The 27,966-nt window shown below is 45.9% G+C and overlaps 1 protein-coding gene and 1 long non-coding RNA gene across 11 annotated transcripts in view, besides 1 other annotated feature; one reads left to right on the forward strand and one right to left on the reverse strand.

Moving 5' to 3' along the window:
• The window catches only part of DPP6 (dipeptidyl peptidase like 6), a 1,146,153-nt gene that overhangs the window by 284,473 nt on the left and 833,714 nt on the right, over window positions 1-27,966 (forward strand). For 2 of the 10 annotated variants that reach the window (NM_130797.4, NM_001290253.2), the window contains exon 1: window positions 19,793-20,458. The exons of the other annotated variants lie outside the window; for them this stretch is intronic. In NM_130797.4, the coding sequence (NP_570629.2) occupies window positions 20,216-20,458 (243 nt within the window). In that variant the 5' untranslated portion in view covers window positions 19,793-20,215. Of the gene's footprint in view, window positions 1-19,792; window positions 20,459-27,966 lie in introns of those variants that run through there. 10 annotated transcript variants of the gene reach the window in all.
• Window positions 18,684-19,286: an enhancer, noted in NCBI's record as "H3K4me1 hESC enhancer chr7:153748374-153748976 (GRCh37/hg19 assembly coordinates)". NCBI's record gives its function as "activates a minimal SCP1, AML or CMV promoter by ChIP-STARR-seq in naive H9 embryonic stem cells {active_cell/tissue: H9 hESC(naive)}" and the evidence as "EXISTENCE:reporter gene assay evidence [ECO:0000049][PMID:30033119]".
• Window positions 22,980-27,965, reverse strand: LOC101929998 (uncharacterized). The gene is made up of 4 exons (NR_136254.1): window positions 27,905-27,965; window positions 24,828-24,928; window positions 24,404-24,475; window positions 22,980-23,320 (listed from the first exon to the last, which is right to left on the reverse strand). It is a non-coding gene; the product is annotated as an uncharacterized LOC101929998 (long non-coding RNA).

A 27,966-nucleotide genomic window follows, 5' to 3' on the forward strand; every position in this document is an offset into this window, starting at 1 on the left:
TTTGTATATTTATAACTATGTTTCAAAATAATGCATTTTCTTTGCAATCTGACATATTTTATCTTATATATTTAAACAGAAGATTCTGACAAATGAAATGCTGGCATCACCAGATTGTTCTAGGAGTTCATTTTTTTTCTGTCTCATTTTTGTCTAAAGAGACAAAAAAGATCTAGAACCTTTTCTAAATTTTAGGGCCTGAATCCCCTCTCTCTTTAAAATGTGTCCGCACCCCCCACCGACCCCATCCCCCATCCCCCCCTACCCCCTTGTTGTGTGGGGCAATTCAGCCTTTTCAGGTGGCTTTATATACCTGTGACTGCCTTTAAAGGTGGCTTTATATACCTGTGGCTGCCTTTGAAGGTGGCTTTATATACCTGTGGCTGCCTTTGAAGGTGGCTTTATACACCTGTAGCTCTGGGGCCTTCCAAGCTAAGCAACAGTACTGCTAAACAGTTAAGTCTACATAGTTCCTGGGTGGTAAGTGATTTCCCTGTATTATTTCACAAAATCATAAAAGCATTTATTTGCCCAGTACCCCACAAGTGATAGAATCTGAGTCCAGAGGTTCGGCCACCAGGGCTCCAGGGCCTGAGGTTTTACTGTGTTGTGTGCTGTGGATGGGTTACTATATCCTTTGACATAAATATATACATACTTGGCTTATGTCTGCTTTGTCCCCAGAATGCACACATATCTGTGGTTAAGACAGTGTTCCTTCTTTCTTTCTCTCTCTTTTCCTTTCTTTGCCCCTCTGCACTGGCATTGAACTCTGGGGAGAAGACACTTGCGTTCTGAGGCTGTTTCTCTGTCTCTAAATGAAGACAGTCAAACTGAATCGTTTCCAAGTCCCCGTCCAGCATTTAAATTCAGTGTAAGAAGGAACTCCTGGCTACGCTGCCTTCCTAACCTGGTCAAGGAATGTTCATTCTTTGTATTGACTGCAGTGTCATTGAATTTGCTGCAAGGCTTTACATCCTCCTCATGAAGAGGTGACCTTGTATCTAGAGTCCCTTCGTCTCTGTCTTTGATGCAGTGATATTTCTCATTGTGAGTGATTCCATAAGCTAGACCAGCAGTTGCCCATATTCCATGGTTGATTAGTTTTCTAGAAAAGAAGAGGACCCTTCACAATCACAGTTCTTGTTTGGAAACCCAACAGGACCTTAACATGTATTCAAAGTGCTGATACCAAATGCCTCTTCTTACTTGGTGCCCACTCCTCTGCACACAAGAACAAGTGTTTTTTTCTTACAAATAACCACTTTTCAGTTCATTCTAGTATCACATGGTTTCTAGACTTCTTTGCAATTTGAGTGGAACTAAACTACAGTTCATTGACAGGCATCACACAGCACGTGTTTATAGAGATTAACAGAATATCTCTGCCCTGGTGACATTGGTAGAAGGCTCATTGAGATGATTTTACTGTGAACGACGTGAATGCCACTATTCTAGTAATAGTGTTCACAGCTGTATCAATTTATGGCTTATTAAGTGTAGGGCCAACTAAATAACACATATTTTTCTACACAACTGTTGTCAAGCTGAATTTGTTCCTTCTAGGAAATAGTACAACCTAATTTTTCATCTAAAGATAGAGGTATACCTGGTCAAATCCTTCATAGCAAGAAAGATACTACTGCTAGTATGAATCTTGACTTAGAAGATGAAAGAAGCTCAAATGTTCAGTTGTTCCAATCCTTTGAATTTATAGCTGAGGGAATGGAAGTCCATCAGGAGGGCATGAAGCCTGTTCAAGTTCACACAGAGGATGTGGAGCCTCTGATGCTCATCGCTGTGGATCCTTCCCATGCCTTTATCCCCCCTCTGCACACCTCACATAGTGTCATGAGTTCCTGTTCTAGAGCTGTGGTCCCCTGAAGCAAATCTACGGGTCTCCCTTCTCCTGTCTTTTCCTTCCTTTGTGTGTGTGTATGTGCGTGTATGTTTGAGATCAATGATTTCTCTTTTGCCTACTTTTGACTTAAGATAACATTTGTTTTGGAGCTCGACAAGCATGACTCAGCAGTGTAACACTCTTTTTAATTTTAATTATTATTATTTTATGGTTATTCTTTTGTGATTATCAAGTTGTTCTTGATGATATCTGGGCACTGTGCAAGACTTCCTTCACTGCATGGGAGTATGTGAGGTTCATTTCAATTGCACTTGTGTTTCCATCTTCTTCCCTTCTATCACTGACTCACTCAAAGCTTGCTTTTGTTTCATAAAGGATCAACCAACAGAAAATTGAGAAAGTCAGTCCATTAATTTGTTTGGCCAGTTTTAGTCATTGGTTGGATTCAAAATACCCCATCTATTCAACCCAGATGGAAAGAACTGACCTTTTCTGAAGCTAAAACATATGCAAAATGGACAAAGCCCATGGCTTGACCTGACCTATTCCTAGGTCATGGTATCCTGATAGAGCATTCTCCCCATCCGACCCTGAGGCACCTGAACCCAGCAACCTCTTTATGCACTCACATTTTCAGCCTTAAGGGTCTTCCCTAAGCTCCGCTTTCTGAGGGTAAAGCCTTTAACTTTCCTTTGTGGACAAATTGCTCACTAGCTCATCATTGGGGTTCAGTGGACAAGGTATCCTTACATGCCATCTCTTCATGAGGGCGTGAAGGCTCCGTTCGTAAAGAACTATGATGTGGTCATGTAATGGGTTCACTTTAAGACTTGAAAATAAGTAAAGCGAATAAGTTACACTATAATTCATCATCTTTCATATATAGCAGTAATGCAATAATACAATAATTACTTTGGTTTTTGTTGGTAAATTATATAAATCATTCTATTCATTAGAGATAATGAAAAAGTAACACAAACATGATGTGATGTCTCCCTTATGCTACTGATTTACTTTATTTCAGTCCCGCCTCACTTCAGAATGCAATTTTTTCCTTGCAGGAATTACTTGTAATGGCAGTGGTAGAACCAGGGGATCAAGATATCCAGCTTCTGATGCAGGAAATCCATCTCTCTTTATTGATAGCCCAGCATCATGCTTTTATCTAGAGAGGCATTTATCCATCTAAACACCCCTAGAAAAGCTATGTGGAAAATGTAAAAGCATCAGGAAGCTCAAAGTTACAGCCAAGGCACAGACTGAATGCTTTAAAATCTTGTCTCATCCACAGAAATCCACAAAGATTATTTCCATAGATCAAGGACATAGTAATGCTGTTTGCCCTTTTTACATAGTAGTACCGTATATTTATTAGCTCTATTGATGAAAATAGGAGAGCAACTCTCCTTGATATTAGAGACCTTGGCAAACGTAAAGTACTTAAAAAATGAATAGACTGCCTTCCGAATGTGAACTCACTGACTAAGCCCAGTGAAAGGAGAGTATGGCATGAAATCAGAGAATGATGAATGGCCAGGATTACGCGCGCGCGCTTGTGTGTGTGTGTGTGTGTGTGTGTGTATGTGAAAATAAACAATATGATTAGTGTTTATTCTTTTTAACAATCCACAAATTGCCTGCTTTTCTCTACTTTTTTTTTTGAGATCAAGCCTCACTCTGTTACCCAGGCTGGAGTACAGTGGGTGTGATCTCAGTGTACTGCAACCTCCGCCTCACAGGTTCAAATGATTCTCCTGCCTCAGCCTTGCCAGTAGCTGGGATTACAGGTGCCCACCACCACGCCTGGCTAATATTTATATTTTTAGCGGGGGGTTGGGGGCGGGGGGATTCACCATGTTGGCCAGGCTGGTCTCGAACTCCTGACTTCAGGTGATCCGCCCACCTCAGCCTCCCAAAGTGCTGGGATTACAGGCATGAGCCACCTTGTCTGGCCTCTACTTTCTCCAGTTAGAAAGTGGAAGAAACTGAGCTTCAAATGTCTTGCTTACAGCTATTTTGGGGCTCTGAGTTGAGATTTTTGTTGTACCATTTGTGAAGCCATCCAGGTGCTGGGTCTAATCATTCCTGGGCAACTGAGATACAGAAGGAGCCCCAGCTCAGATGGTGCACGGGCACATCATACCCTGGGCATTATTTTTGCCCTTTTTCTGGAAGTACGATTGGAAATGGGCAGCAGATGGACCACTTCGCATTTTACCCGTTCAAGCAAGGGGTATTTTTCTTCTAGGAAGTGGGATTTCCAAGCAAAACTGCCGCTTTGGTAGTCACTTGCCATACTTCAGTGTCCATGGAAAAACAACTGCGTATAGGAAGAGGGAAGGGGGACATAGCGTGCCAACTCTAACTCTGATGTCTGCACCACTCATCCATAATCCATGTCCCAGTGGGGAAGGTGATATTCCCTGGCATCTACAGACCCAGCAGGCACACGGTGGGTGAGTGGGCCTGGTCACCTGCAACCGCAGTAGAAACTCTATCCCAAGGCAAAAGGAAATTAAGAAATCCATTTGTGAATAATATTCACAACTACAATACTGTTTTGTTGGATCTTTCTTAGTTTCTTCAGTTCAAGGTTGATTTGTGGCCCATGAGTCTCTGATCCAGACATTTGAAAATCTCTAGACTCAGTGAAAGTCATGTTAATTATAAAATCAGTAAGTACACTATACAAGAGCAGCTTTGAGCTTGGTAGGAAGACGGCCTTCCCAGGAACCAGAGAGGAGAGAGCCAGCTTTGACCCTGCGAGGCACATGGGAGAAAAGAGTTCAGTTGGTTTATATTCTATGAATTTACTTTCCCCATTGGTATTCCGAAGTGTTCACTGAAACACAGCTGCTCCTGGCACTCTAATAGACATTTCCCAGGACCTCATGGCAGCCTTATCCACAGTCTCCAGCCTGCAGTCACATGTATTTTTCAGGGGTTCACTGTTAGCCCTTTGAGCAAATATTTATAGAGTTGTTTTTAAAAAATTACTGATGCTGTAATTAAAAAGAACACTTAATCCAAATTACTTAATAGACGAATAAATGAGTGAATAATCAAAACATTTAATACCACTGGTATATATAAGAAATGAATTAATTTCAAAGTGTGGAAAAATTATGTGGGCTTCTTATCAGTGGTATTAATCTATTTTTGATACATAAACCACCCTAAGAGGTTTTCCTATCTATCCCAAGTGTCATTTTGCAGTATTAGTTTCTCTAGGATGTGTTTTCATTAGCCTCTTAGATATAAATGGCTATACCACTAAAATGTAGGAAAAATCCCAAATGAAAGCCCTTTCCCTATTCACCCTGTTAAGCTTCCTCTTGATGGAAGCTCTCTTCACCCTTGAAAGCTGCTAGGAGGTAATGGAGGGCACTGTGGCCACCCAGCCCTGGTGCACTGAGTACCTTTCCTTAATAAATCACCGTTGGAGTCCTATGGCAACAACCTAACTTGATAACACATATATCTAGATGTCTTGCTTCATTGATATGACAGTGATTTCTCTTTTCATACTCACCTTGGGAATCTAAGATGTTAGAAGCTAATAAATCCCCCACACATAAAACATATAATGATACATTCAGAGAAAGATTCTCTAAACTGATTTCAGCAGTTCTTACATATAATAGAAACACAGACTTGCCTACCATGATTTTGTTACTTTTGTTGTCATAGCCTCATTCATTAGTTTGACAAATACTTGTTGCCCATCTCGAGTGTTCCAGGCACCGTGACAAACACTGGTTATGAACAGCAAAGGAGATGGAAGTAGTCCCTCCTCTCAAGGAGTCTGTCCTCTACTGGGGAGATACAGGGAGGTATCCAGCAGTACAGCCTGTCTGTCTGGAAGGAGCCCACCCCACATGCAGTTGAAAAACACAGCATGGCAGATTTTTCAATTTTAAAAAAAAATCACGTGCTGATTTTATAACAGATTTTAAATATGACCTACCAGTAGATTATAGTTCATCATTTTTGAAAGGCACTGTTGTTAACGATGTAGCACCTTCCCGTCACTGGTATCTCAGTAGCCACCAGTCAGAGCAGCTCCTAGCAGACTCCAGAATCATGTTAATATCTTCCATCCGATCACCTCTCTGAAGACTGTTTGTAGATAAGTGTGTCTTAAGTGAACTTTATTCGAATGAACTCCTACCCTGTAGATGACAGTTTTTGCATGAACCGTAATCAGACATAGATCTTCTTAGGGAACATATAATGGGGAAAATAGGACTTGGCCAGTCATGGCAGATGTTCATTGATGTGTGTCATATGAATAGATGGATGAATAGCACAAGGTAAAGAGTGGTGTGTTTTATAAGGCAGGCACATGCAGATGTTATGAGGACTTGGCAAGGCTAGTAGTAACTCCTTAAAGAATCATGGAAGACCTCAAAAGCCAGGAGGTGGTGTGTGAGCTGGGCTTTAAAGTAAGCCTATGGTTGTGCCATCTGGAAATTTAATTTCACAACATCCTGGAATGTGTTTCCAGTGAATGAGTCAATGAAATGACAGAAGTCAGTGGACAAAGATTACTGGGAATTTTCCTGCAAGATGCAGCACTCAGACCTGGGTTTGAACCCAAACTCTCTCCTACTTTTACCCCAGGACTTTTCCCTTATAAGACAATGCATGTGAAACGTATGGTTATAAAGCTACCCCAAAGTAGAATCTTTTATTATTCTTCAGTAAAACCCTTCATGGGATGAGAGTTTACGAATAAATTCAGAGTTCATCTGGAGGTGCCCGGTGGATCTCTTGATGTCCTAGCTTCCCAGGTACATTGCCAGTTTACAGGAAAATATGCCTTTTTGAAACTGATTGAAAACAAATTAGCTGGGTTTTCTTGGACGATGAATCTGTAGTTTTTCAAAGATCAGAAAATTCCTGTTCTCCAAGAAGACAGGTGCAGAAGTGATCATCTGAGGCTGCTCTCCAAGGTCCTCAGTGTATTTGCAATTTCCTCAGAGTCTGTCAGCCATCACAGCATAGCCTCTTTCTTTTTTCTGGATTTCTTTTTTATTCCATGATAGGTGGAATAAGGCAATCTGGGCCCAGTAATGCTTGTTTTTTAACTCAGTGTCATCACTATCTCTCAGCCAGTGTTGTGTCCCACCCACCAATGGCCCAGTGAAAAGTGATCCAGAATCCCTTCTGAATCACTGAATTATTTGCACACAAACTCATCTATCTGATCTGTCCATCCTCCATGATAAACGGAAATTAGTTTCATTTTCTGCCCTCCCCTTCCTCCTGGAATATCTGACTCTTCAATAAATGAGAAGACAGAGTTATGGTTCATTTACTGACTTGATTTTAATATTTCGGAGAGCATTTAAAACATTTATAGCGCAGCAGTCTTCCTTTTCATAGGAAACAAAAGTCTTCTAAAAGGCAGTCTCATTTCCCGTGTGGTTAGTTGAATACAGAAACCGTGTAGTCAGAAGGAAGGGGCTGCCCTGAGTCAGCCCGGGCTCCCGGGGCTGGACGGAGCTTGCATTTCTGAGCTCCCAGGGCGCCCCCAAGTGGCGATGTCAAGCTCCAAGTTGTTCTCAGTGTGCTCAACAGCAGCGCTTTTATAAGGTTCTTTTTGTTTTGTTTTGCTTTGGCTTTGCTGTTGTTTGTTCGGCTGCTTTTATTTTTGCAGTTGGCTGAATTCATCCGAGGGTTATACAAATCAAAAACTGTAAGTGGAGAGGATCTACCAGTTGTTTTGCAAAGATAGAGGTGCTATCACGGAGGATGCTGTTGGTGTGGCATAGGTGGGAAAGAGAAGCAGTAAGAAGAAAGGAGAATAAAAGAGAAATCCATGAAGCTGTAAGAAGTGTTTTTTTGTCACTTTTTAATGCTGATTTATTCACCTGGATCAAAATAAGGAAAAACACACGAGGTCTAAATCATCAAAATAAGTTGCAAGATAAGGCAGCACGCTTCATGAGGCTGTTTCTCTTGCTTTCTGTTCTCAACACCAGTTCTGTGTAAGATGACCTGCAACATAGACTCTGCATGTAGAATCTGTTAGTGGCTGACCCCTGCCTTATATAAACAAGGCTGGTAAATATGGAGCGAGGCTCACATTCAAACAACAATTCTATGGGCTGGATTAAGACTCAAAGTCCCTAAACACTCATCAAATCATGTTGCCTCTCCCATATGCAATTCCAGAAGGATAATTTATTTTGTTAACTAATAAAAGCAATATCATGTGTGCTGAAAGTATTTTTTCCCACATATTCTGTGTACAGAATTCTATATATGTTCCTAGGGGCTGGAACATTTTTCCTTTAACTGTGATTCTTATTCTGATTACTAGTGTTCTGAATGCACACTTAGCCTGCGTGCTACATGGCCTGTGCAGCTCTTTCCTCCTGCCCCGGGAAGAGGATTTCAAGCCTGTCATCTTCAACTCATAGCAGCCTTGGTGGAGTGGGTTCCAAACTGGCTCTTATGATGCCAGCTCAAAGTCAGCCTCTTGGGAGTCTCTTTAGGGCAACAGGGTTTTGCCTTTCAACACAACTTAAGTATAAAGTGCAGATAAACATAAGAGTGTTATTTTAAAATAAATTTGCTAAAGCATTATTTCTCTTTTCCCCTCTCCCTCCTCCTCTGTCCTTCCTCTACCCTCCTCTTTCAGACTCATACTCCTCCTCTGTGGCTTTACAAATCCTGGATAGAAAACATCTCACAAAACATGTTCTCTTCTCTTCACATATTTAAGAGGCCTTCGAGCATTGACACACATTTGCCTCCAGATTTTCTAGTTGAAGAAATGTGCAAAAATCAATAAAAAGCCCAAATACAGTGGTATTTTTCCCCAGAGTTATGGACAATAACAAATAATCAGGTGGGAAGGCTTGATGATTTTCTTTTTAGATTGTGAGCTACAGGCGGCCATATGTGTTTTAAAGGTTAGGTACATAAAAGAAGTTTTGAGGTTTCCCCTCTGTAACAACTGATTGGCCCTCTCGGGAACTCTGTGCTTAAATAAAGCTGATAGGATTGGCCTCTCTTAGCATGCTTATGCCATAGATGAGCGTCTGATGCTTAGCGACCTATCCTGGTGCAAGAGCCAGGCAGTGGAAGAACCAGGTGTGCAGTGTGTCCAACAGGAATGCTTTTGGCTGTGAAACAATTCCTGGCTGAAAGGGCCTAAGCCCGGGGGATTTTATCTGGGTGGGAAGAGGATTCTGGTTTTAGTTCAGTACCTGCATGCTATCAGGGCTCAAGGTGTGCATCCTTGCAAACACTGGCCCCTTCTTCTCATGTTTGTTTTTTTTGTTGTTTGTTTGTTTGAGACAGAGTCTGTCTCTGTGGCCAGGCTGGAGTGCAGTGAGTGGTGAAATCCTGGCTCACTGCAACCTCTGACTCCCTGGTTCAAGTGATTCTCCTGCCTCAGCCTCGCGAGTAGCTAGGATTACAGTCATACGCCACCAGGTCCAGCTAATTTTTGTATTTTTAGTAGAGCCGGGGTTTCACCATGTTGGCCAGGATGGTCTCGATTTCCCGACCTCGTGATCCGCCCACCTCGGCCTCCCAAAGTGCTGAGATTACAGGCGTGAGCCACGGCGCCTGGCCTCTTCTCATGGTTTCAAAAAGGCTACAGCAGCTTTGAGCATCAAATCCTCACACAACTATGTTCAAAGACAGAAAACAGGAGGAAGTGATGTTGGCAGGCCAGGGGAGGGGTCCCTCCTCTGACCACTCTCTCTTACCAGAGAGAAAAATAATCTTTGCCACAGCCTCCCAGAAAACTTTTTATTTCTGCTTCATCAAGCGGACACCCTTAACTTGTGGATATTCTATATTGGCAGGTAAATAAGTGAGAAGGGATATGGGTGCAGCACGGGGGCAACCAATGAAAGGTTGGCCATACAAGCAGGTGTTCCAATAAGACAGAAGAATACATGAACCATGCTCACAGGAAAATTTATATAGTTTCCTCTTGGAAAACAACAACAAAAACCTTCTGGTCTTATCCAAAGCATTAATTGGATGAAAAATGTCAAGCTTTTCTCAGTGTTCGGTGCAGTACAAACGTAGGATTATTTCTAAGTGGAGGAGCAATAGAAGATAGCACTGTAGAACTCTTCCGTCATGCCAAGAGAAGTTAGATATGACCAATACGATGAAGGGAAATGATAAGGTGACATTATCCCTGAGCTAAAAGTCACCGAATCTGTGACAAGGTATGGGCTAGTCAACTTGTGGAGCTCTCCAGCCCCCTTCTCAATGAAGATTTTAAGGCAAACTAGAATTGCATTACATTTAGTGATTATTTTTCCTCAAAGACCAACGACTTCAATGGGAGATAGAAGAGTCTGTGGATCACTTGCTTTTATTCTCTTCCTATAGCTGTGAAAATTGATTCAAGAAATTGCCAACATTCCACTTTAATCAGGGTAGAAACCAAGAGTTGGGTGTAGTTTATCCATTGAGATGCTCTATGCATTGGCAATGCCATCATTTAAAAACATCATGGAGACTGTTTTTAGTCATATGGACAAATCCAAGCAGGCTGCCTTCCCAGGAAATCAGGAGCAACCTATGAAGTTCTAGGCTTGAAGTTTTTTGATTGGTGGACTTAATAAAATGTAGATATAATCAGTAGATTAAAAGTGAGTACTGGCTGGGCACGGTGGCTCACGTCTGTAATCCCAGCACTTTGGGAGGCCAAGGTGGGCGAATCATCTGAGGTCAGGGGTTTGAGACCAACCTGACCAACATCGTGAAACCCCGTCTCTACCCCAGCTAAAAATACAAAATTAGCCAGCTCTGGTGGCGCATGCCTGTAATTCTAGCTACTTGGGAGTCTGAGGCAGGAGAATCACTTGAACCGGGCAGGTGGAGTTTGCAGTGAGCTGAGATCATGCCATTGCACTCCAGCCTGGGTAAAAAGAATGAAACTCCATCTCAAAAAAAAAAAAAAAAAAAAAAAAAAAAAAAAAAAAAAAAAAAAGGACCTATTCCAAGATTTTCATTAAATGCTCAGATAAGTATACCACCCGAGGATCAGTATTATAACCAGGTATCTTATTGGAAGTCTTGTGTTTTATCTTGGAATACTCATGAGTTCGGTATTCCATCTCCTGGTATATTTGGATTGGATAATTTTATGTTATTTGATAAAATTGCCTACTCAAGGAAGATAGTTATCCTAGGGATTTGAATATCTCAATTGGGAAACTCAGCATTCATTGAGACCACAATCAACCATTTACATCTCATTTTGAGTTGGACTTGAAGTTGTGGATGATATCAGAGCCCTGAGAGAGAGAAATTTAAAAAGGAATCCTGAAAGGCAGATGTAAATATCGCCTTACACTGCTTCTTCTTTTACCCCAAGATGGCTAAGAAAGCCTTCAAAGTCCTTTGAAAGCATTAATTTATCCAACTTTTCCCACAAAGACTGAAATGGGTCTGCATCAATGATGTAATTTGGGTATTGCTGGGTTATACAGGAGCACAATGGTGATGATTATGGGTGCGCTGCAGAGGACTGAGTTAATGGAATCCCATCAGGGACTCAGAGCACAAATTCGGGGCACAAACAGGACCCACCTCATCCCGCTGCAGCTGAGAGTCACTGTTGTTGCTGCTGTGAGTGAGGGAAAAGGCTGATCAAATTGCAGGCTCATGTGACTGGTGGATTTATTTAGCCAATGGGCAATTTCGGTGTACCTCTCAAGCAAAATATAAGTAATTGTTGAGAGAATTACTTTTTTGATTACCAAATTACTATGATTTGAAATGCAATTAGTAGTATAGACAAACCTATTTTTCCCCTTTATGAGAAGGAAATTGTTCGGAAATGGGTATAGTGGTGCTGATAAAGTTACAGTCCACAGTGAATTAAATTACCCACAAGAAGCAGATACATGGTTTCATTTCAGTTTTATTGCTCCTAATGCAATTTGTTTTCATTAATGAGAACCCACATGTATGCATGAATCAGGGTTTTGCACTGATACCTCCTGTGTGGGGTATTTCTTTTTCCAGGTTAGGTTTCATTCTCCATATTTAAGATCTATTGTGTGTATATTGATATTTGCCTATAAATATTAAAGATGCACCTGTGGTTCAGAGAATATGTTAAAATTCAAGAAAAGCTACCGATCTACCTAAAGTAGCATCAACTCGTTTTTTAAATTTGTAGATATTTCCATTTGTACATGGAAATTTAGAGGGAATCTTAAGTGACGGTGAAAAATAAAATGGATTTTATAATGAACCCTTTAACATGCTTGAAAGGAGTGGATTCAGGAGAATTAAGTTCATGAAAGTCAGGTTTGAACTTTAAATGTTTATTAACTTTATTGATTTTTAATTAAGGACAGGATTTTTTTATTGCATTGAAAAAGCAATGAGTCCAAACTAGAGGCACGGAAGATTTTTTTTATGAAATCAGTGTTTGAAAGTAAGGCTTTTTTTTCTTTGCAGTTCTGCAGAGTTCTTCTGCCAAATTGCATATGTTCTGGCAAGATGGGAAAAGGCTCTCTGCTAAGGTACAAAATCAGAGTATCTCAGATAAGCCACAACAGTTGTGGTATGATAGTTTGACCATATCTTTGCCTTTGCTTTGACAATTCCCTTTTGATTTCTACCTTCTTCCTGACATGAAACTTAAACATCAGTTCAAGGGCGAAACAGCATCTGAAAATGTCCTGCAAAGACTAAATGGACTGCATTCTTTTTTGATTCTGAATAAAGTCTTAGAAAAGATAAAAAAAAAAAAAACACTCCCTCCCTCATTTAAATGGTTTCTTTTTTTTATTCTTGAAAAATCCTTACCCTTAGGAGAATCCTTGTCCAATCCTTTAAATGTATAAGCTGTTATCTGAGACCTGAGCAAACATTTGAGAAATCTTCCAGGTCACCTTGGTGCCGTGAAGAAAATTGCTCTAGTACATTGCTCTAGTGCAGTGGTTCTCAGACTTGTGCATGCATCAGAATCATCTGGAGAGCTTGTTAAATGCAGCTTGCCCGGCCCCAGCCCTGAGTTTCAGCTGGTCTGAGACAGGGCCCACGAATCTGCATTTCCAACAAGTCCCTGAATGATGCTTTCGCTGTTGGTCCAGAAACAACTCTTTGAAAGCCACTGTATGAGTAGATTAAAAATGCTACTTGGTGCTGCTATAATAAATAAATCACAGCTTTATTGTGAACACATTTGCAAGCTAGTGGTTTCTAACAGTCCTTTTGTAGTAAGACTAGCAGTGCTCCAAATGTACCAAAAGGAGCAAGAAATTGAGAAAACGGCATCTATTCACAAAAGTAAAGCATTATCAGTCGGATAATTTGTAGTATCAGTCTTGCTTCACTTTGAGGAGTACTGATGATCATCTGCATGAAAGCAAGTTCACTGTAGTTCATGATTTCATCCTTAGAACGTAGCGCAATGAATGGCACATAGTCAGTGCTCAGGTGTTAACTGAATAAGTGAAATGCCTACAAGAAGCATGGACTTGACCATGCCATTTTTTCATGCATTGATTTGGCTTTAATGACACAAGCATGCTGTTTAACCAATTATCCTCAGTGACTTACCCAACAAGTATTTATTTCAAGACCCACATTTCTGCTGGTTAACTGTGATTCAGCTGGTCTACACTGGGCTCGGCTAAGAGACTCTGCTTTGTGCTCCCCAATTATCTGGCTTAGCCCCAGGCTGTGGGTTGTATTGAGGTCTTCTCCAAGTGTGTTTGTTCTGGGGCCAGGCTAAAGCATCGGCTGTTAATAGGGACATGTTTTTGTATGGTGGATCATCAGAGTGCAGAAGCCAGCTAGGGTATGCAAGCAGCTGCAAGGCCTCTGCCTGCATCATGTCCACGCACATCCCATTAGTCCAAGTAAGTCACATGACCAGTCTCAAAGTCAGGGTGGCAGTAGGTGTCAGGGGACAGGTTAAGATGCTTCCCTGCAGGGGGCATGGGGTGGAGAGTAGTATTTGCTGAACAACATTCCAGTCTGTTACAGTTTACAATATGGCAATAATGGCTTATTCCATTTAGAACTCAAAGATGAGTGTTCAGGAGCTGGATATTTATAGGTTGGAAATGCAATCACATGCTCCGCTATATTATGCTCTTGAAAGAAGATGCTGCTACTCAGACTGTCCCACTGAACATCTGAAAAGGGGGTTTGTCACGTAAAGGAAGACTCTTTCCTCTTCCCTCCTTATGTTTCACAGTCATTGTGTTGTTGGAAGAAGAGATGGAAAGATACACTGGAATCTGCAGTACTTGGACCTGGGGGCCAACTTGCTGGGCTTTTCTTATTTTGTTATTTCTGGCCGACAAGCCTTCTCTTTCGGGGGTGAATTAAGTTGTGCTCACACTCAACCCTCCCTAAATCTTAGTCCAGATGCACATTTTAGAAATACACTATACCCCCTTCCTTTATTTGTAACTGCAGTAATTTTTAGTGAAGTCAAGTTTTCCACTCTCTGTAACTGTTTCTATTAGCCTGCAGGAGAGTACCAATTTACGTGGCAGGATTTATTGAGTTGACACTGGCTCTGTTTGTTTTGCTGTCAGGAAAAGACGTTGCATTTGACTGACCCTATCTTTATCCATTTTGGTTTTGCTGTTGCTTTGAAGTCAAAGCCTGAGAATGCCTCTGGGCTGATGCCAATGTCCCCAGAAGACAGTGTAAGCCCTTGTTCCCTGTGGCTCACAGTCAGTTCTAAGGCTGACCATACCGCAAGCAGGACTTGGTCCTTCACAAGGCATGCCAGTGGTCAGCAGAGAGAACAGACACAAGCTTTCTCTTCTTTCTGAATGCAACCATCACCTCTCCTGGTTACAAAATTAAAGCACTGAAGTGCAGAGACTCATTCCTATCACTTTAACATTGAAGGGAATCATATTTAACTTAATTCACCTGACCCTAAGAAGTGTGTGGTTTGAAAAGGGCAAGGCGCTCTAGGGGCACTTTGGAGCAGAAGTCATATCTCGTTTAATCTAATACAGTTTGATCTATGAACTAAGACGTTTTGGAGAACAACATGGTTATGGTCAAATGATCACCAGGGACAAACAGAAAGAGAAGAGAGTCTTCTATACCCCATGCTCCAAAAACCTAAGAGCCTTGGGAAGCACTGTGGAAACGATCATTGTGTCACCAGAAAATAGGAAATGACAGGAGTTCGTGCCTCCTCCAGGGTGAGAGGTGATTATTTGGATAATTTCTGAGGCAATGTTGGTAGCACAAGGCAAGATTTGATAAATATTCAGAGGGCAGCAAGGAAGTTTTAGAGAAAATAATATATATTCTACGTATAGCCTACAGATATTGATCCAGAGAAGGGACATGCATGAAGGCAAGACAACAGAAGTGAAGAAAGGTAGTTAGAAAGTGGGAGGAGAAGAGTCGATTATGGTTCAATGTAGAAAGGCAAGATGAAGAACTAGGGGAGAATCCTAGAGGAAGGTGGTAAGGTTGTGAGCAGCCCTCCGAGGGGCCACAGAGAAAACATGGGATGAGGTTGGCACCAGCCATTTGCGTAGGATCAAAAGCTTGTGCAGCTCACCTGGCGATAAACCTTAACACTCGTGTTAATCAACCACTGTGTTTGTGTACATGACACTAGTGTAGTTAGTTGTACGTATGTTTTGAACTGTGTAAGATCCAAGCAGTGACACAATGGTAGGGCTAAAATGCAGAGACATGTGCTATTGGGAGATTGAAGCTTAACTTTACTGATGTTAGAGAAAGGCTATTTATTGGGTTACAACAAATGATTTTACATAAAACATAATTTTTAAGTATTAAGTTGAAAAGCCCAAATTGACCCAATTCATACTTTAACTCTGTTTTTCAAAAGCCTGAAATAGCAATTATTGTGTGTGTGTGTATGTGTGTGTGTCCTGGATATTTCCTGTTTGAAGGTGTGTAAAAGGTCTTACTACCCAGCCCCTAGTGGAGAGTTCTCTTGCAAAAAACAAAAACGGAAACAAGAAACCAAACATGCTTTGAGAGATAGAGAGTGAGAAACAGATTTTCAGAGTGGAGAATATGCCTTCTATTTATGCATTTAGCATTGTGTTTTCTCAAGCTACCCAGATTTTTTAAAATTTCTCCCCGTTTATGAGTTCAAGCTGATAATATGTAAAAGACAGTGATGCCCACTGTTTTAGGGAAGACCTTCCTTCAGAGTATGCTAACTTAGCCATTTCATTTCTTCAAATATTAGTATTTGGAAAAGAAAAAACAGTCTTAAATATGGTTCTGTCCTCCCTCAGCACCCAGAGAAAAGGGAAGTCAACTACAGGATATAATTCTCTCAGAAATAAGAAAACCTCTTAGCTAATAAAAATCATGCTTAGGCTGCTAAACTCAATGGATGTACTTTTGTTATTCCTACAATGCTTAGCTTGCAGGTAGACCAAAAATTTGCCTTCATTGTCATTTTAAAAATGACTATCCAACATATTTTGCAGCATCTGCCTAATCCCAATGACTTATATTTGTTTTGTAAATTTGTTCTAGGGAAAATAAACACACACCCACACCTTTGTAATAAATAGGGAAGCACTAATCATATGAAACTAGATAGAAAAATGGGTTGGGGGCATTTGGTTTGGAGCAGCATGGAAGAATTAAACTCGACATTAAATAATTTGCAAAATATTTTCAAAAATATTTTCTCACACTTACCCAATAAGTAGGAATAAAAATCTGCTTCATCGCCACAGTGTACTTCAGGCGTTCAAGGAGAAATTGAGTAGAGGGAAATATTGACATGTTTCCTTCCGAACCACTACACCTATTTTGAAATGCCCATTGGGTACTTTTGCTCCTCTTCGGGGTATCTTTTTCCTTGTTTGTGTGTGTGTGTGTGTGTGTGTGGATAAGGGGAGGTGAAAGGTGATTAGAGACAAGAATTGAATTAATTATACATCATAAACATAACATGCCATAGCTTGCCAGTCTTTAAAATTGTATCACTTCACTTATTCTAACATACTAACCACTTTATTTTTTTATATGTGGGACCACAGTGTCCTCACACCCTCGACTGCAATGTGTGTATCCGTGCTTAACACAAATTTGGATGTGTGGGTGCATAAACGTGCATGCACATACACACGAGGTATAGAACATTTATTTATTTATTTATTTATTTAGAGATGGAGTCGTGCTCTGTCGCCAGGCTAGAATGCAGTGGCGCGATCTCGGCTCATTGCAACCTCCGCCTCCCGGGTTCAAGCAATTCTCCTGTCTCAGCCTCCTGAGTAGCTGGGACTACAGGCGCCACCATCACACCTGGCTAATTTTTGTATTTTTAGTGGAGATGGGGTTTCACCATGTTGGCCAGGATGGTCTCAATCTCCTCACCTCGTGATCCACCCGCTTCTGCCTCCCAAAGTGCTGGGATTACAGGCGTGAGCCACCGCGCCCGGCCAGAACATTCTTTAAAATGTCCCTAGAAGCACCGCGTTCAGTGTGCAAGGTGCAAGAGTATAGCCAAGCGCTTTTCAATTTGGGTAAAGGGCGCTCCATCTGGATCATCCTTGAGGAACATCCTCGTGTTCATCCATGCTGTTTCCAGTCCTCCCCAGCATTCCGGCTCCTTTCACACCTGCATCTTTCAGACGCTCGCTCTTTCCTGCCCTCCGTTTCTTCTGCTTAATTGTGAGATTTGCTTCCCAGCACAAATTTTTACTTCAACTCTTTCCCCTGTTGCTTATGAGTTTTATGGTGATTTCATTTTATAATTTTAAGCAGAAATCGCTTATCATATTTTCTTAGATAATTTAATTGAGATTTTAAACTTTAGTTAGATTACAGTTACCTACAATGCCTTGAGAATATAGTTTTTAAAAGTGGCACATATGCTTTATCCCAATAGTATTCTATCTATGATTAATATGCACACATCTATCATTGTATTTTGTATAAACTATATTAGTATGACATTTAGTTTGTGTAAAAATATGCATGCATATTTCATAGATAGCGTATGTATATTACATAAGTGGGACCCTAACTGCATCTATATTTAGTGAAATGTCAGGATCGCGATGCTGCGGTGAATAGCATGAGCTTTCTTTCATGTCCATGTTAGGAGAGGCAGCTTCCTCCCATCAAAAGCACAGCTGGGGCAGAGGAGGGGGTTGAGAGCAAGGTTTTCTATCTATCTAATTGTGGTGACTTTTAAAGTTTAGTTTTATGGCTCTGTTGCCTCTGTCTTCAAAGTCAAATGGAGCAGCTGAAGCTCTCCCCACCCCAGACCCACCTGCCTGGCCTCTCCCATGCAGCAAGTTTCGCTTAGCTGTTGCAATCCTGGTTTTACTTGGTTTTGTATTTGCTATTTTTTAAAGTGTTTTTAAACTCATGTTTCTTCATAGTAAAGGGTAACTACTGTGGAGTAAACAGAAGATGAGCGTGGTACAAATTTTGGTTAAACCAAAAACTACACACTGGATTGAAAGCTTGGGGAAGGGAGGCAGGTGGAAGGGACTGAAGGAGGTCTCTTCCCAGGAGACTTGTTCACCGGCATCCAGTATTCTCCCCCGCAGTTAGGGAAACAGAGGGAGCATGCAGTTTCAGGCCCAGGCAGGCCTCTCTCTGGGCTTGGGGCAATGCCAGGGCTGGGGGCGAGCCTGCAGTCAGCCTTGTGAGTGGCAGCCGAGGCTGTTATTTTGAAACCCTAAGTGGAAACAGGCATGGAAACCCGGAAGGAGCAGGGAGCCTTAGGCAGTCCTGGGAGATGAAGCCAACGCCCTACCTCCATGTGGAAGGAGGCGGCGGAATGGGCAGGGTCGGGTCTCACAGGTTCCCCCCTCTGGAGTTGGGGTTTCCCGGCCCACGTTCACTCTCTGGATGTGATAGGTCCTTCCCGGCCGGGAAGGGCTGGAAGGGGCGCGCAAGGAGGACGTGGGGACGAGACGAGAGAGACGCGTGCCCAGCAACTCCAGAAGGACGGAGAGGAGTGCAGAAGGGAGCCGGGGAGGACGCGGGAGGGCCGGGAGGGGAAGAGAAGCCAGGCCGGGCCTGGAGCGGAGGAGCGGAGCCCGCTGGTGCGGGTGTCCACACAGGGGCGCTGGAGCGCGCCTTCCTGCGGCTGGGCAGGAGGCAAGCCCGAGAGCGCGCGGCGAGTGGAGCCATGTCGCCCTCCCTCGCTCTCGGCGGGCACAGTGAGGCGCAGGCTTTGGAAAAGTTGCGGGCAGCCGGAGAGCCGAGCCTCCGCCTGCGTTCATGATAATGAGAATGGAGTCGCGGTCACAGCCGGGCTCTCTGCGGGGCGCATCGCCCGCGAGGGGCGCCTGGGCCTCTGGGCGTCCTCTGCCGCCCCGCGACCTTTCCTGCCCTCCTCCGGAGAGAGGCGAAGGGAAGGGGCGGTTTCGGAGGGAGCTGGGCTGTGGAGGGAGGGCGGCCTCTTCACCAGCGTCGTCCGACCACCCCGCGCCCTCCTGGTGGCTCTCCCACGCCCCATTCGCACCCCAGGTCCTCGGGGTGTCTCTGGTGTTGCTTCAAGTTAGGCAAGAGGAGCTGGGGGCGCGGGGAGCCCGGCGCCGCAGCGCGTGCGTGGCTGGGGCGCCCCGGGGCCGGCTGCACCTTCAGTCGCCCCCTGGCCGGCCTGCCTGCCTCGACCTCCGCATCCCCTTGCACCGTCCGCTCGCGTGCTGCGGGGCACTCGCAGCACTACCTTCGGTGGGGCCGCAGCACCCTGAGCTCCCGGGACTCCCCCACCGCCCCCGCACCCACGACCCGCGTGGTCCCAGCCCCTCCACCCTCTTCACGCACCCTCGCACCCTTTTGTGCGACCCCGTGCCCTCTCCGGGCTGCCAACCCCTGCCACCCAGGTGCCAGTCCCGGGCGCGGGGAGGAGGCCGGTGGGGAAGGGGGCGGAGGGGCCGGGGTGGAGGAGGAGCTGCGCGAGGGGCCTGGGGGCGGGGAGCGAGGAGAGCGCTCGGAATGTGTGCCGGTCTCTAGGTGGTGCCAAATTCTGGGGCCTAGGCATTTCCCTCGCTTTATGTTTTTGGTTTTTTTTCTTCCTTCAATCTCTTTGATTAGGCCGTACGTGGCTGTGGCAAGGAGTTGGGGAAAAAAATTATAAAAACAGGAAAGAGAGAAAGCACAGCCAGAGCCCCGGCTTCGCGAGCCGCCGGGGAGGGGGCGGAGGAGGCTGAGCCAGGCAGAGTCGCCAGCGGAGACTCGCGAGTGGCGCGCGGGAGGAGCGGCCGCCGGCGCTGGGCTTGCCTTGCTGCTGCTGCTGCTGCTGCCTCCCCACCGCCTTTTTTTTTTTTTAATCTGGAGCGGGGTGGGGAGTGGGAACCGGAGAGAAAGCAAAATATTAAAAAGCCCCAAAGACAGCCAGCAGGAGCGCGGTGCCCGATGGCTTCGCTGTACCAGAGGTTCACTGGCAAGATCAACACCTCGAGGTCCTTCCCCGCGCCCCCGGAGGCGAGTCACCTCCTGGGCGGCCAGGGGCCCGAGGAGGACGGCGGCGCAGGAGCCAAGCCCCTCGGCCCGCGGGCGCAGGCGGCGGCGCCCCGGGAGCGCGGCGGCGGCGGCGGCGGCGCGGGTGGCCGGCCCCGGTTCCAGTACCAGGCGCGGAGCGATGGTGACGAGGAGGACGTAAGAGCTTCTCGGGGGCGGGGGGCGGCGGCGGGTTCTCCGGGCTGAGCGCGCAGCGAGACGCGTCGGCAGGGGAAATTTTTTTTGGGGGGGGAATCAGGCGCCCTCCCCCCGCCCACGACTCTCCGGGCGCCCCCAGACAGGCTCCGTGGCGCCAGATCGCGGTCACCGCGTCCCGGAGGGAGCGGGTCTGTGTCTGCAGCCGCGGCGGCCGGGAGTTGGTGGCTGGAGAGAGCGGGGTTTGGGTACTGCGCCTGCTGGGATCTGGAATTCGCCTTACGTTCCCTGGGTGCGCGGATGTCTGTTTTTAACAGCATGCTGCTATGGTTCCTAAGGAGAGAATTCGATCGGCCTGTGCTTACGAGTTGGTTTATTTTTTATTTATTTCGTGCTCCGGGAACACAGCCTCAGGCACCTTCTCTCCCTCCCACCTGTGTCTGGAATCTCTCCATCGTGCCCCTCCTCTCCTACTCACTCTGTCCCTTGACTCAAATGCCTCTCCTTCGTTCCTCTTCTTACTTCTCCTAGACACTTTTTCCCCCCAGCGGTGGTGATGGTGATTATCCTTTCCGGAAAAAAAAAATACCAAAATACTGGCATCTGAGCCCCAACCCTCTGTCCCAGGGCCCAGCTCTTTTGCTGAGAGCCCTCAGGCCGTGTCTGTCTCCCCTCCCAGCCCTGGACTAGCACCTCTGCCTTAGACCGTGTTCAGTGAAAACTTCTCCGAGAGCACATTTCCTACTCTTCATGGGGGCTGGAAGCCTGGGTTTCAAAGGTTGGATTTGCACATCGCCCTAGTAACCAATGACTCATGCAGGACAGGAGCCGGACCTTAGATGGATGCGTTTAACCACCTCCTGTGGATCCCTTTCAAGGATGCAGAGGGCTGCTAGGACTTAGAAGGGAGGAAACTGTGCTTTTTCTTTGAGGCCTTCTTTTCCCAGGGAAAAGAGAAAAATCCCCGACAGGCTCTCAGAGAAACAGGTCTGGCTTGGCTGGTACAGCTCTTATAACAGCTAGGCTGTGTTGGTTTGTAGAAATTACTATGTATGCCTTTGAGGAGTTTCACAACTGCTCAACCTGGGAACCGCAGGGGTCCCACCGGCCTCTCACTTAGTCTACCCTGACATACCCAGGGCAGTACATTGCCGGGCACTGAGTAGGTGGTTTTGGTCATTACCTCTCTGCAGCCTCCAGCCACGCTGGTTCCCTGTTTCGTATTTCTTTAGTGCAAGAGTTGTGTTTGGGTCGAGGGAGGGGTGAGACATTGAGTGATTTCCCAGGGACAATTCCTAATTGCCAGATACTATGAAATCAGTGAGGTTTTGCTGTTGTTATTGGTAGTTTTTGTTTTATGAATGAAGGATGTGGAAACTTTAATGGAGATCACAAAACTTTGTGGGAGATGTGGTTTGCACACACACAGGTACACACCCCCTACAGCCCTGCGTCAGATTTTGCATGAGGTTTTGTGATTTTCTCCTGCATCGTTTCCAGACTCCCCTGGTTAAATAGTCATTCAAAGGCATGTCCCTCACTTTGGTGGGCCAAGCCCTGAGGGAAATAGACAGATCCTTCAGTCATCTGGTTCAAGTCTTTGGCAAATGGTTTAATTGGGGGAGGGTGAAGAGTTCTGGAGGATTAAACTACCGAGAATCTTGGGGAAGACAGTTAAGCTGCAATGCAAACAGGAAAAATGTACTTTTTACCTTAAATCTGACTTAAAATTGTTGAATTGTGGATGTTTGGAATGAGAACAATGTGCAGTTTTTTTCTCAACAGGCTCTAGGTGTCGCTAGGAGAAAGGAAAGGCAAGAGCTCTGAATTTTATTTCAGATGATCTCCATCTTTTTTTAAAAAAATCTTAACTTGGAGTATACATGTCCTTCTTTTTATTGTGACATGTGTCTAGAAATGATTCTCAGATAAACACAGGTGTCCTGAGAAACAAATCAGGGATATAACATGTACATTTGTTAATGGGGTTCTAAACAGCATCTCTAACTTAGATGTAAGTCCTGACATGCTTTTTTTTTTTTTTTCTGGAAAATACACAATGTGTGTGGGTGGGCGTGTATTGTGTGTTTATATAGTGTACTCCCGATATATATATGCACACATATATACTTGCCCATTATCTGCACATATATATCTGGCACACATCTGCAAAATGCATTGCACATATGTCCTTTAAATTGTATAATTAAACTCATGACACAGGCTGAATGTTGCATCCTTTAAAAACAACAACAAACTTTTATGCACTCTTCTTAGAAAAGTTCCTCAGAATAGGAAAAGTTATGCCCCCAAATTTACTAAAAGATAGATGAACATATCAAACCACTTTTCCTCCAGGAACAAAAGCTTCAATTTGCTTAAAGTGTATTGAAAAACAAAAACAAAAAAAGAGATTAGGTAGAAAAACTGCTTTTTAGGTACAGATACTTGCCAAGGCAAGGCTGAAGAATCTAGAGTAATCATTTTGCTACCCAAATTTAAAGCTGAGGATATGCAATGAATTAGGAACACATTGCATTTTATTACGTGTCTTGCAACTGCTGACAACCTCAAGACAAACCGAGGCTTTCCTTTTCCACATCTGCAAGCAGCTGGGAGCGCCGCTACTTCGGTGGGAGCTGTCTGAGGTGCTGAAACCTTCTCTTGGCTTAGCGCAGGAGAAATCTCCATCACTCTTGCCTTTTCAGTCCTGATCCCAAGGCTGGTGGCTTTATCGCTGTTCTCTGGCTTGTCAGGGAAGACTGTTCCAAGGTACAGAAACAGCTTCGCTGCCTTGGTCACTAAGATGATGGCAAGCAGCATACCTTTATAATCCTTAGGACTTTGTACCTGTTGTCCTTCTGTCTGGAAATTGAGAAATATAGTTCTTGGCTTCTGTGCATGTGTGTACACCTACATGCCTGAGCATGACTGAGAATGGGCAATTACCCAGCCACAACCCAAATAAAATTTATGGTAGTCTAACAAGGCTAACACAGAGAAATAAAATGCGGAGATAGAATGGCTAGAATTAATAATGCATGGTCTAAATGCACAAACTACACAGGCAACAAAGGGACTTCCCAACTGTGTGGCTCCACAGGAAAGCCTGTTTTGGGTGGGTCAGTACTAACATGCAAAGTCTGACTTCAAAATAGAAATAAAACCAGAGGGTCTTCTCTATCCACTTCCTTGTAAATCTTAGATTTATTTAAATATAAAGTCAATTACTTGGGCAACTCCTCTGAGGAATCAATAGCCCTTCTGATTTAAAATTCATTGTGTAGGTTTAAAAATAAGTTGACTCTTAAAGGAATTGTTGCTGGAAGTGACTTTTAGTGGAATGTATTAACTTTCATTTGGATTAACTGTGGCTAATTTTAAAATACTGAACTTTGTCATCCGCCTGCTTGAACATTTCTTTTTAGTTTTTTAAAGGGCTTTGGAGGCCTTCTGTACCATTAGAGCAGTAGTTTTTTTAAGGTTATACAGTGTGTTCCTGTATCCTTCATTTTCAGTGACACGTGGCTTCTTAGCAATACAAATGTGATGACAACAGGATTTTAAAGCAGCAAATTGGTTAAAACTGGGATAGATGGGCAAATCACCACCCATGATGTCCACCAGCCTTGGAAGGGCCAATTTCATCATCCGCTATGTCTTCGGCAACCAACCCATTTTTTTCCTCCACCTTGGTTTTTCATTGGTATAATGTCAACATTCTGTTAATGTGTCCTTGGGATCTATCAACTTTACGATTTCTTAACTAGCTTCCCTCTACAAATATGTTTTTATACTCTATTACTTTTCTTCTGTTTCAACTGTAATTTAAAATTTTTTAAGTTTCACATGATTTTCCTGATAAATGAGAAAAAGTCTAAATCTTTCAACTGTCTATTTGATCCCATTACTCTCATCACCAATAGGACCAGTGCTTGGTGTACTCACCTACAGAATAGCTATGGATATTGCAGGAGCATGGAGAGTTGCAATGTTGCCCTCTCTTGATCCCAGTGGCCCCTACAAAGTGGGAGCCATGAGGCCAGGTACTGAGAAGTGCCCAGTGAATACATGCTGCTGCTGTTACTAATAATATTACTGTTTCTAAAGGATGGCCACCCTGTTTGAGGGCCTTGGCAGCAACTGCCCAGCTAGTACAAGAAGCAAAAAAGCTGACTCTTGGGCAAAACCTGAACATAAAGGCCTCCCATTTCGTGGTGGTTGAGAGCCAGCCCCTCTTCCCCCTCTGGCTCTTGTGACCCCCATCACAGGGTGGGGAGACACCCCCCGCGAGGCGGGGACTGAGAGCCAGCCCCTCTTCCCCCACTGGCTTAGGACGCCCATCGGGGATCCTAAGATCCTTAGGACCCACCTGGAGGACTGTGGGTATGAGGTGTTCAAGAAGAAAGCTCAAATCTTCCGACGGCAGGTACCTTGCGTGGGATTTACAATACGACAGGGGTCCGAACGCAGCTCAGGAACAGAAAGAAAGCAGGTTATTTGCAATCTACCGGAGCTTAAGGGCAGAAGGCAGGTGAGAGAATTCTTAGGAGCTGTGGGGTTTTGTAGGCTGTGGATCCCAAACGTTGCAGTATTAGCCAAGCCTTTGTATGAGGTCACAAAGGGGGCGGGGACCCGGAACCTTTGAAATGGGGATCCCGACAACAGCAAGTCTTTCATTAGTTATAAGAAAATCTTCTGGCAGCCCCAGCCCTGGGGCTACCCGATCTGACAAAGCCTTTTCCATTGTATGCGTCAGAGAGAGAAAAGATGGCAGCTGGACTTTTAACCCAAACTGTGGGGCCCTGGCTGAGGCCGGTAGCCTACGTCTCTAAACAACTAGACAGGGTTGCTAAAGAATGGCCCCCCTATTTGAGGGCCTTGGCAGCAACTGCCCTGCTAGTACAAGAAGCAAATAAGCTGATTCTTGGGCAAAACCTGAACATAAAGGCCCCCCATTTTGTGATGGCTGAGATCCATCCCCTCTTCCCCCCTGACTCTTGGGACTCCCATTGCGGGTGGAGGGAGGCATCCCCCATGAGGCGGGGACTCAGAGCCAACCCCTCTTCCCCCCCCTGGCTCTTGGGACCACCATCGCAGGGGGGGAGGCAATCCCCGCGAGGCGGGGACTGCGAACCTCCCCCTTTCCTCCCCTGGCTCTTTGCACCCCCATCGCAGGGGGGGAGGCACCCCTCGTGATGCGGGGACTGAGAGCGAGCCCCTCTTCCCCCCTTTGCTCTTAGGATCCCCATCGCTGGGGGCGGAGGCACCCCCCGCGAGGCAGGGACTGAGAGCCAGTCCCTCTTCCCCCCCTGGCTCTGAGGACCCCCATCGCAGGAGGGGGAGGCAACCCCGCGAGGGTGGGGACTGAGAGCTATCCTCTCTTCCGCACCTGGCTGTTGGTACCCCCATCGTAGGGGGGGGGAGGCACCCTCCGCGAGGCAGGGACTGAGAGCCAACCCCTGGTTCCCCCACTGGCTCTTAGGACCCCCATCGCAGAGGGGGGACGCACCCCCCGCGAGGCGGGGACTGAGAGCCAGACCCTCTTCCCCCCCCAGCTTAGGACCCACATCGTTGATCCTAAGATCCTTAGGACCCACCTGGAGGACTGCGGGTGGTAGGTGTCCAAGTAGAAAGTTCAAATCTTCCGACGGCAGGTACCTTACGTGGGATTACTGAGAGCCAGTCCCTCTTCCCCCCCGGCTCTGAGGAACCCCATCACAGGAGGGGGAGGCACCCCCCACGACAGTGGGGACTGAGAGCTATCCCCTCTTCCGCCCCTGGCTGTTAGTACCCCCATCGCAGGTGGGGAGGCACCCCCTACGAGAGTGGGGACTGAGAGCTATCCCCTCTTCCGCCCCTGGCTGTTAGTACCCCCATCGCAGGGTGGGGGAGGCACCCCCCCGCGAGGCAGGGACTGAGAGCCAGCCTCTGTTCCCCCACTGGCTCTTAGGACCCCCATCGCAGAGGGGGGAGGGACCCCCCACGAGGCGGGGACTGAGAGCCAGTCCCTCTTCCCCCTCTGGCTCTTAGGAACCCCATCGCAGGAGGGTGTGGCACCCCCCACGAGGGTGGGGACTGAGAGCTATCCCCTCTTCCGCCCCTGGCTGTTAATACCCCCATCGCAGGGTGGGGGAGGCACCCCCCGCGAGGTAGGGACTGAGAGCCTGCCCCTGTTCCCCCACTGGCTCTTAGGACACCCATCGCAGAGGGGGGAGGCACCCCCCTTGAGGCGGGGACTGAGAGCCAGACCCTCTTCCCCCCCTGGCTTAGGGCCCCCATCGTTGATCCTAAGATCCTTAGGACCCACCTGGAGGACTGTGGGTATTAGGTGTCCAAGTAGAAAGATCAAATCTTCCGACGGCAGGTACCTTACATGGGATTTACGATCCGACGGGTCCGAACGCAGCTCGGGAACAGAAAGAAAGCAGGTTATTTGCAATCTACCGGAGCTTAAGGGCAGAAGGCAGGTGAGAGAATTCTTAGGAGCTGTGGGGTTTTGTAGACTGTGGATCCCAAACTGCAGTATGAGCAAAGCCTTTGTATGAGGTCACAAAGGGGGCGGGGACCCGGAACTTTTGAAATGGGGATCCCAACAACAGCAAGTTTTTCATGAGTTACAAGAAAATCTTCTGACAGCCCCAGCCCTGGGGCTACCCGATCTGACAAAGCCTTTTCCATTGTATGCGTCAGAGAGAGAAAAGATGGCAGCTGGACTTTTAACCCAAACTGTGGGGCCCTGGCTGAGGCCCGTAGCCTACGTCTCTAAACAACTAGACAGGGTTGCTAAAGGATGGCCCCCCTATTTGACGGCCTTGGCAGCAACTGCCCTGCTAGTACAAGAAGCAAATAAGCTCATTCTTGGGCAAAACCTGAACATAAAGGGCCCCCATTTTGTGATGGCTGAGATCCATCCCCTCTTCCCCCCTGGCTGTTGGGACCCGCATCGCGGGAGGGGAGGCACCCCCCGCGAGGCGGGGACTCAGAGCCAACCCCTCTTCCCCCCCTGGCTCTTGGGACCACCATCGCAGGGGGGGAGGCAATCCTCCCGAGGCGGGACTGCAAACCTCCACCTTTCCTCCCCTGGCTCTTTGCACCCCCATCGCAGGGGGGGAGGCACCCCTCACGACACGGGGACTGAGAGCGAGCCCCTCTTCCCCCCTTTGCTCTTAGGATCCCCATCGCTGGGGGCGGAGGCACCCCCCGCGAGGCAGGGACTGAGAGGCAATCCCTCTTCCCCCCCTGGCTCTTAGGACCCCCATCGCAGGAGGGGGAGGCACCCCCCGCGAGGCAGGGACTGAGAGCCAGCCCCTGGTTCCCCCACTGGCTCTTAGGACCCCCATCGCAGAGGGGGGAGGCACCCCCCGCGAGGCGGGGACTGCGAGCCAGACCCTCTTCCCCCTCTGGCTTAGGACCTCCATCGTTGATCCTAAGATCCTTAGGACCCACCTGGAGGACTGCGGGTGTTAGGTGTCCAAGTAGAAAGTTCAAATCTTCCGACGGCAGGTACC

Source organism: Homo sapiens, chromosome 7, assembly GCF_000001405.40.
Source record: "Homo sapiens chromosome 7, GRCh38.p14 Primary Assembly".
Lineage (NCBI taxonomy): Eukaryota > Metazoa > Chordata > Mammalia > Primates > Hominidae > Homo > Homo sapiens.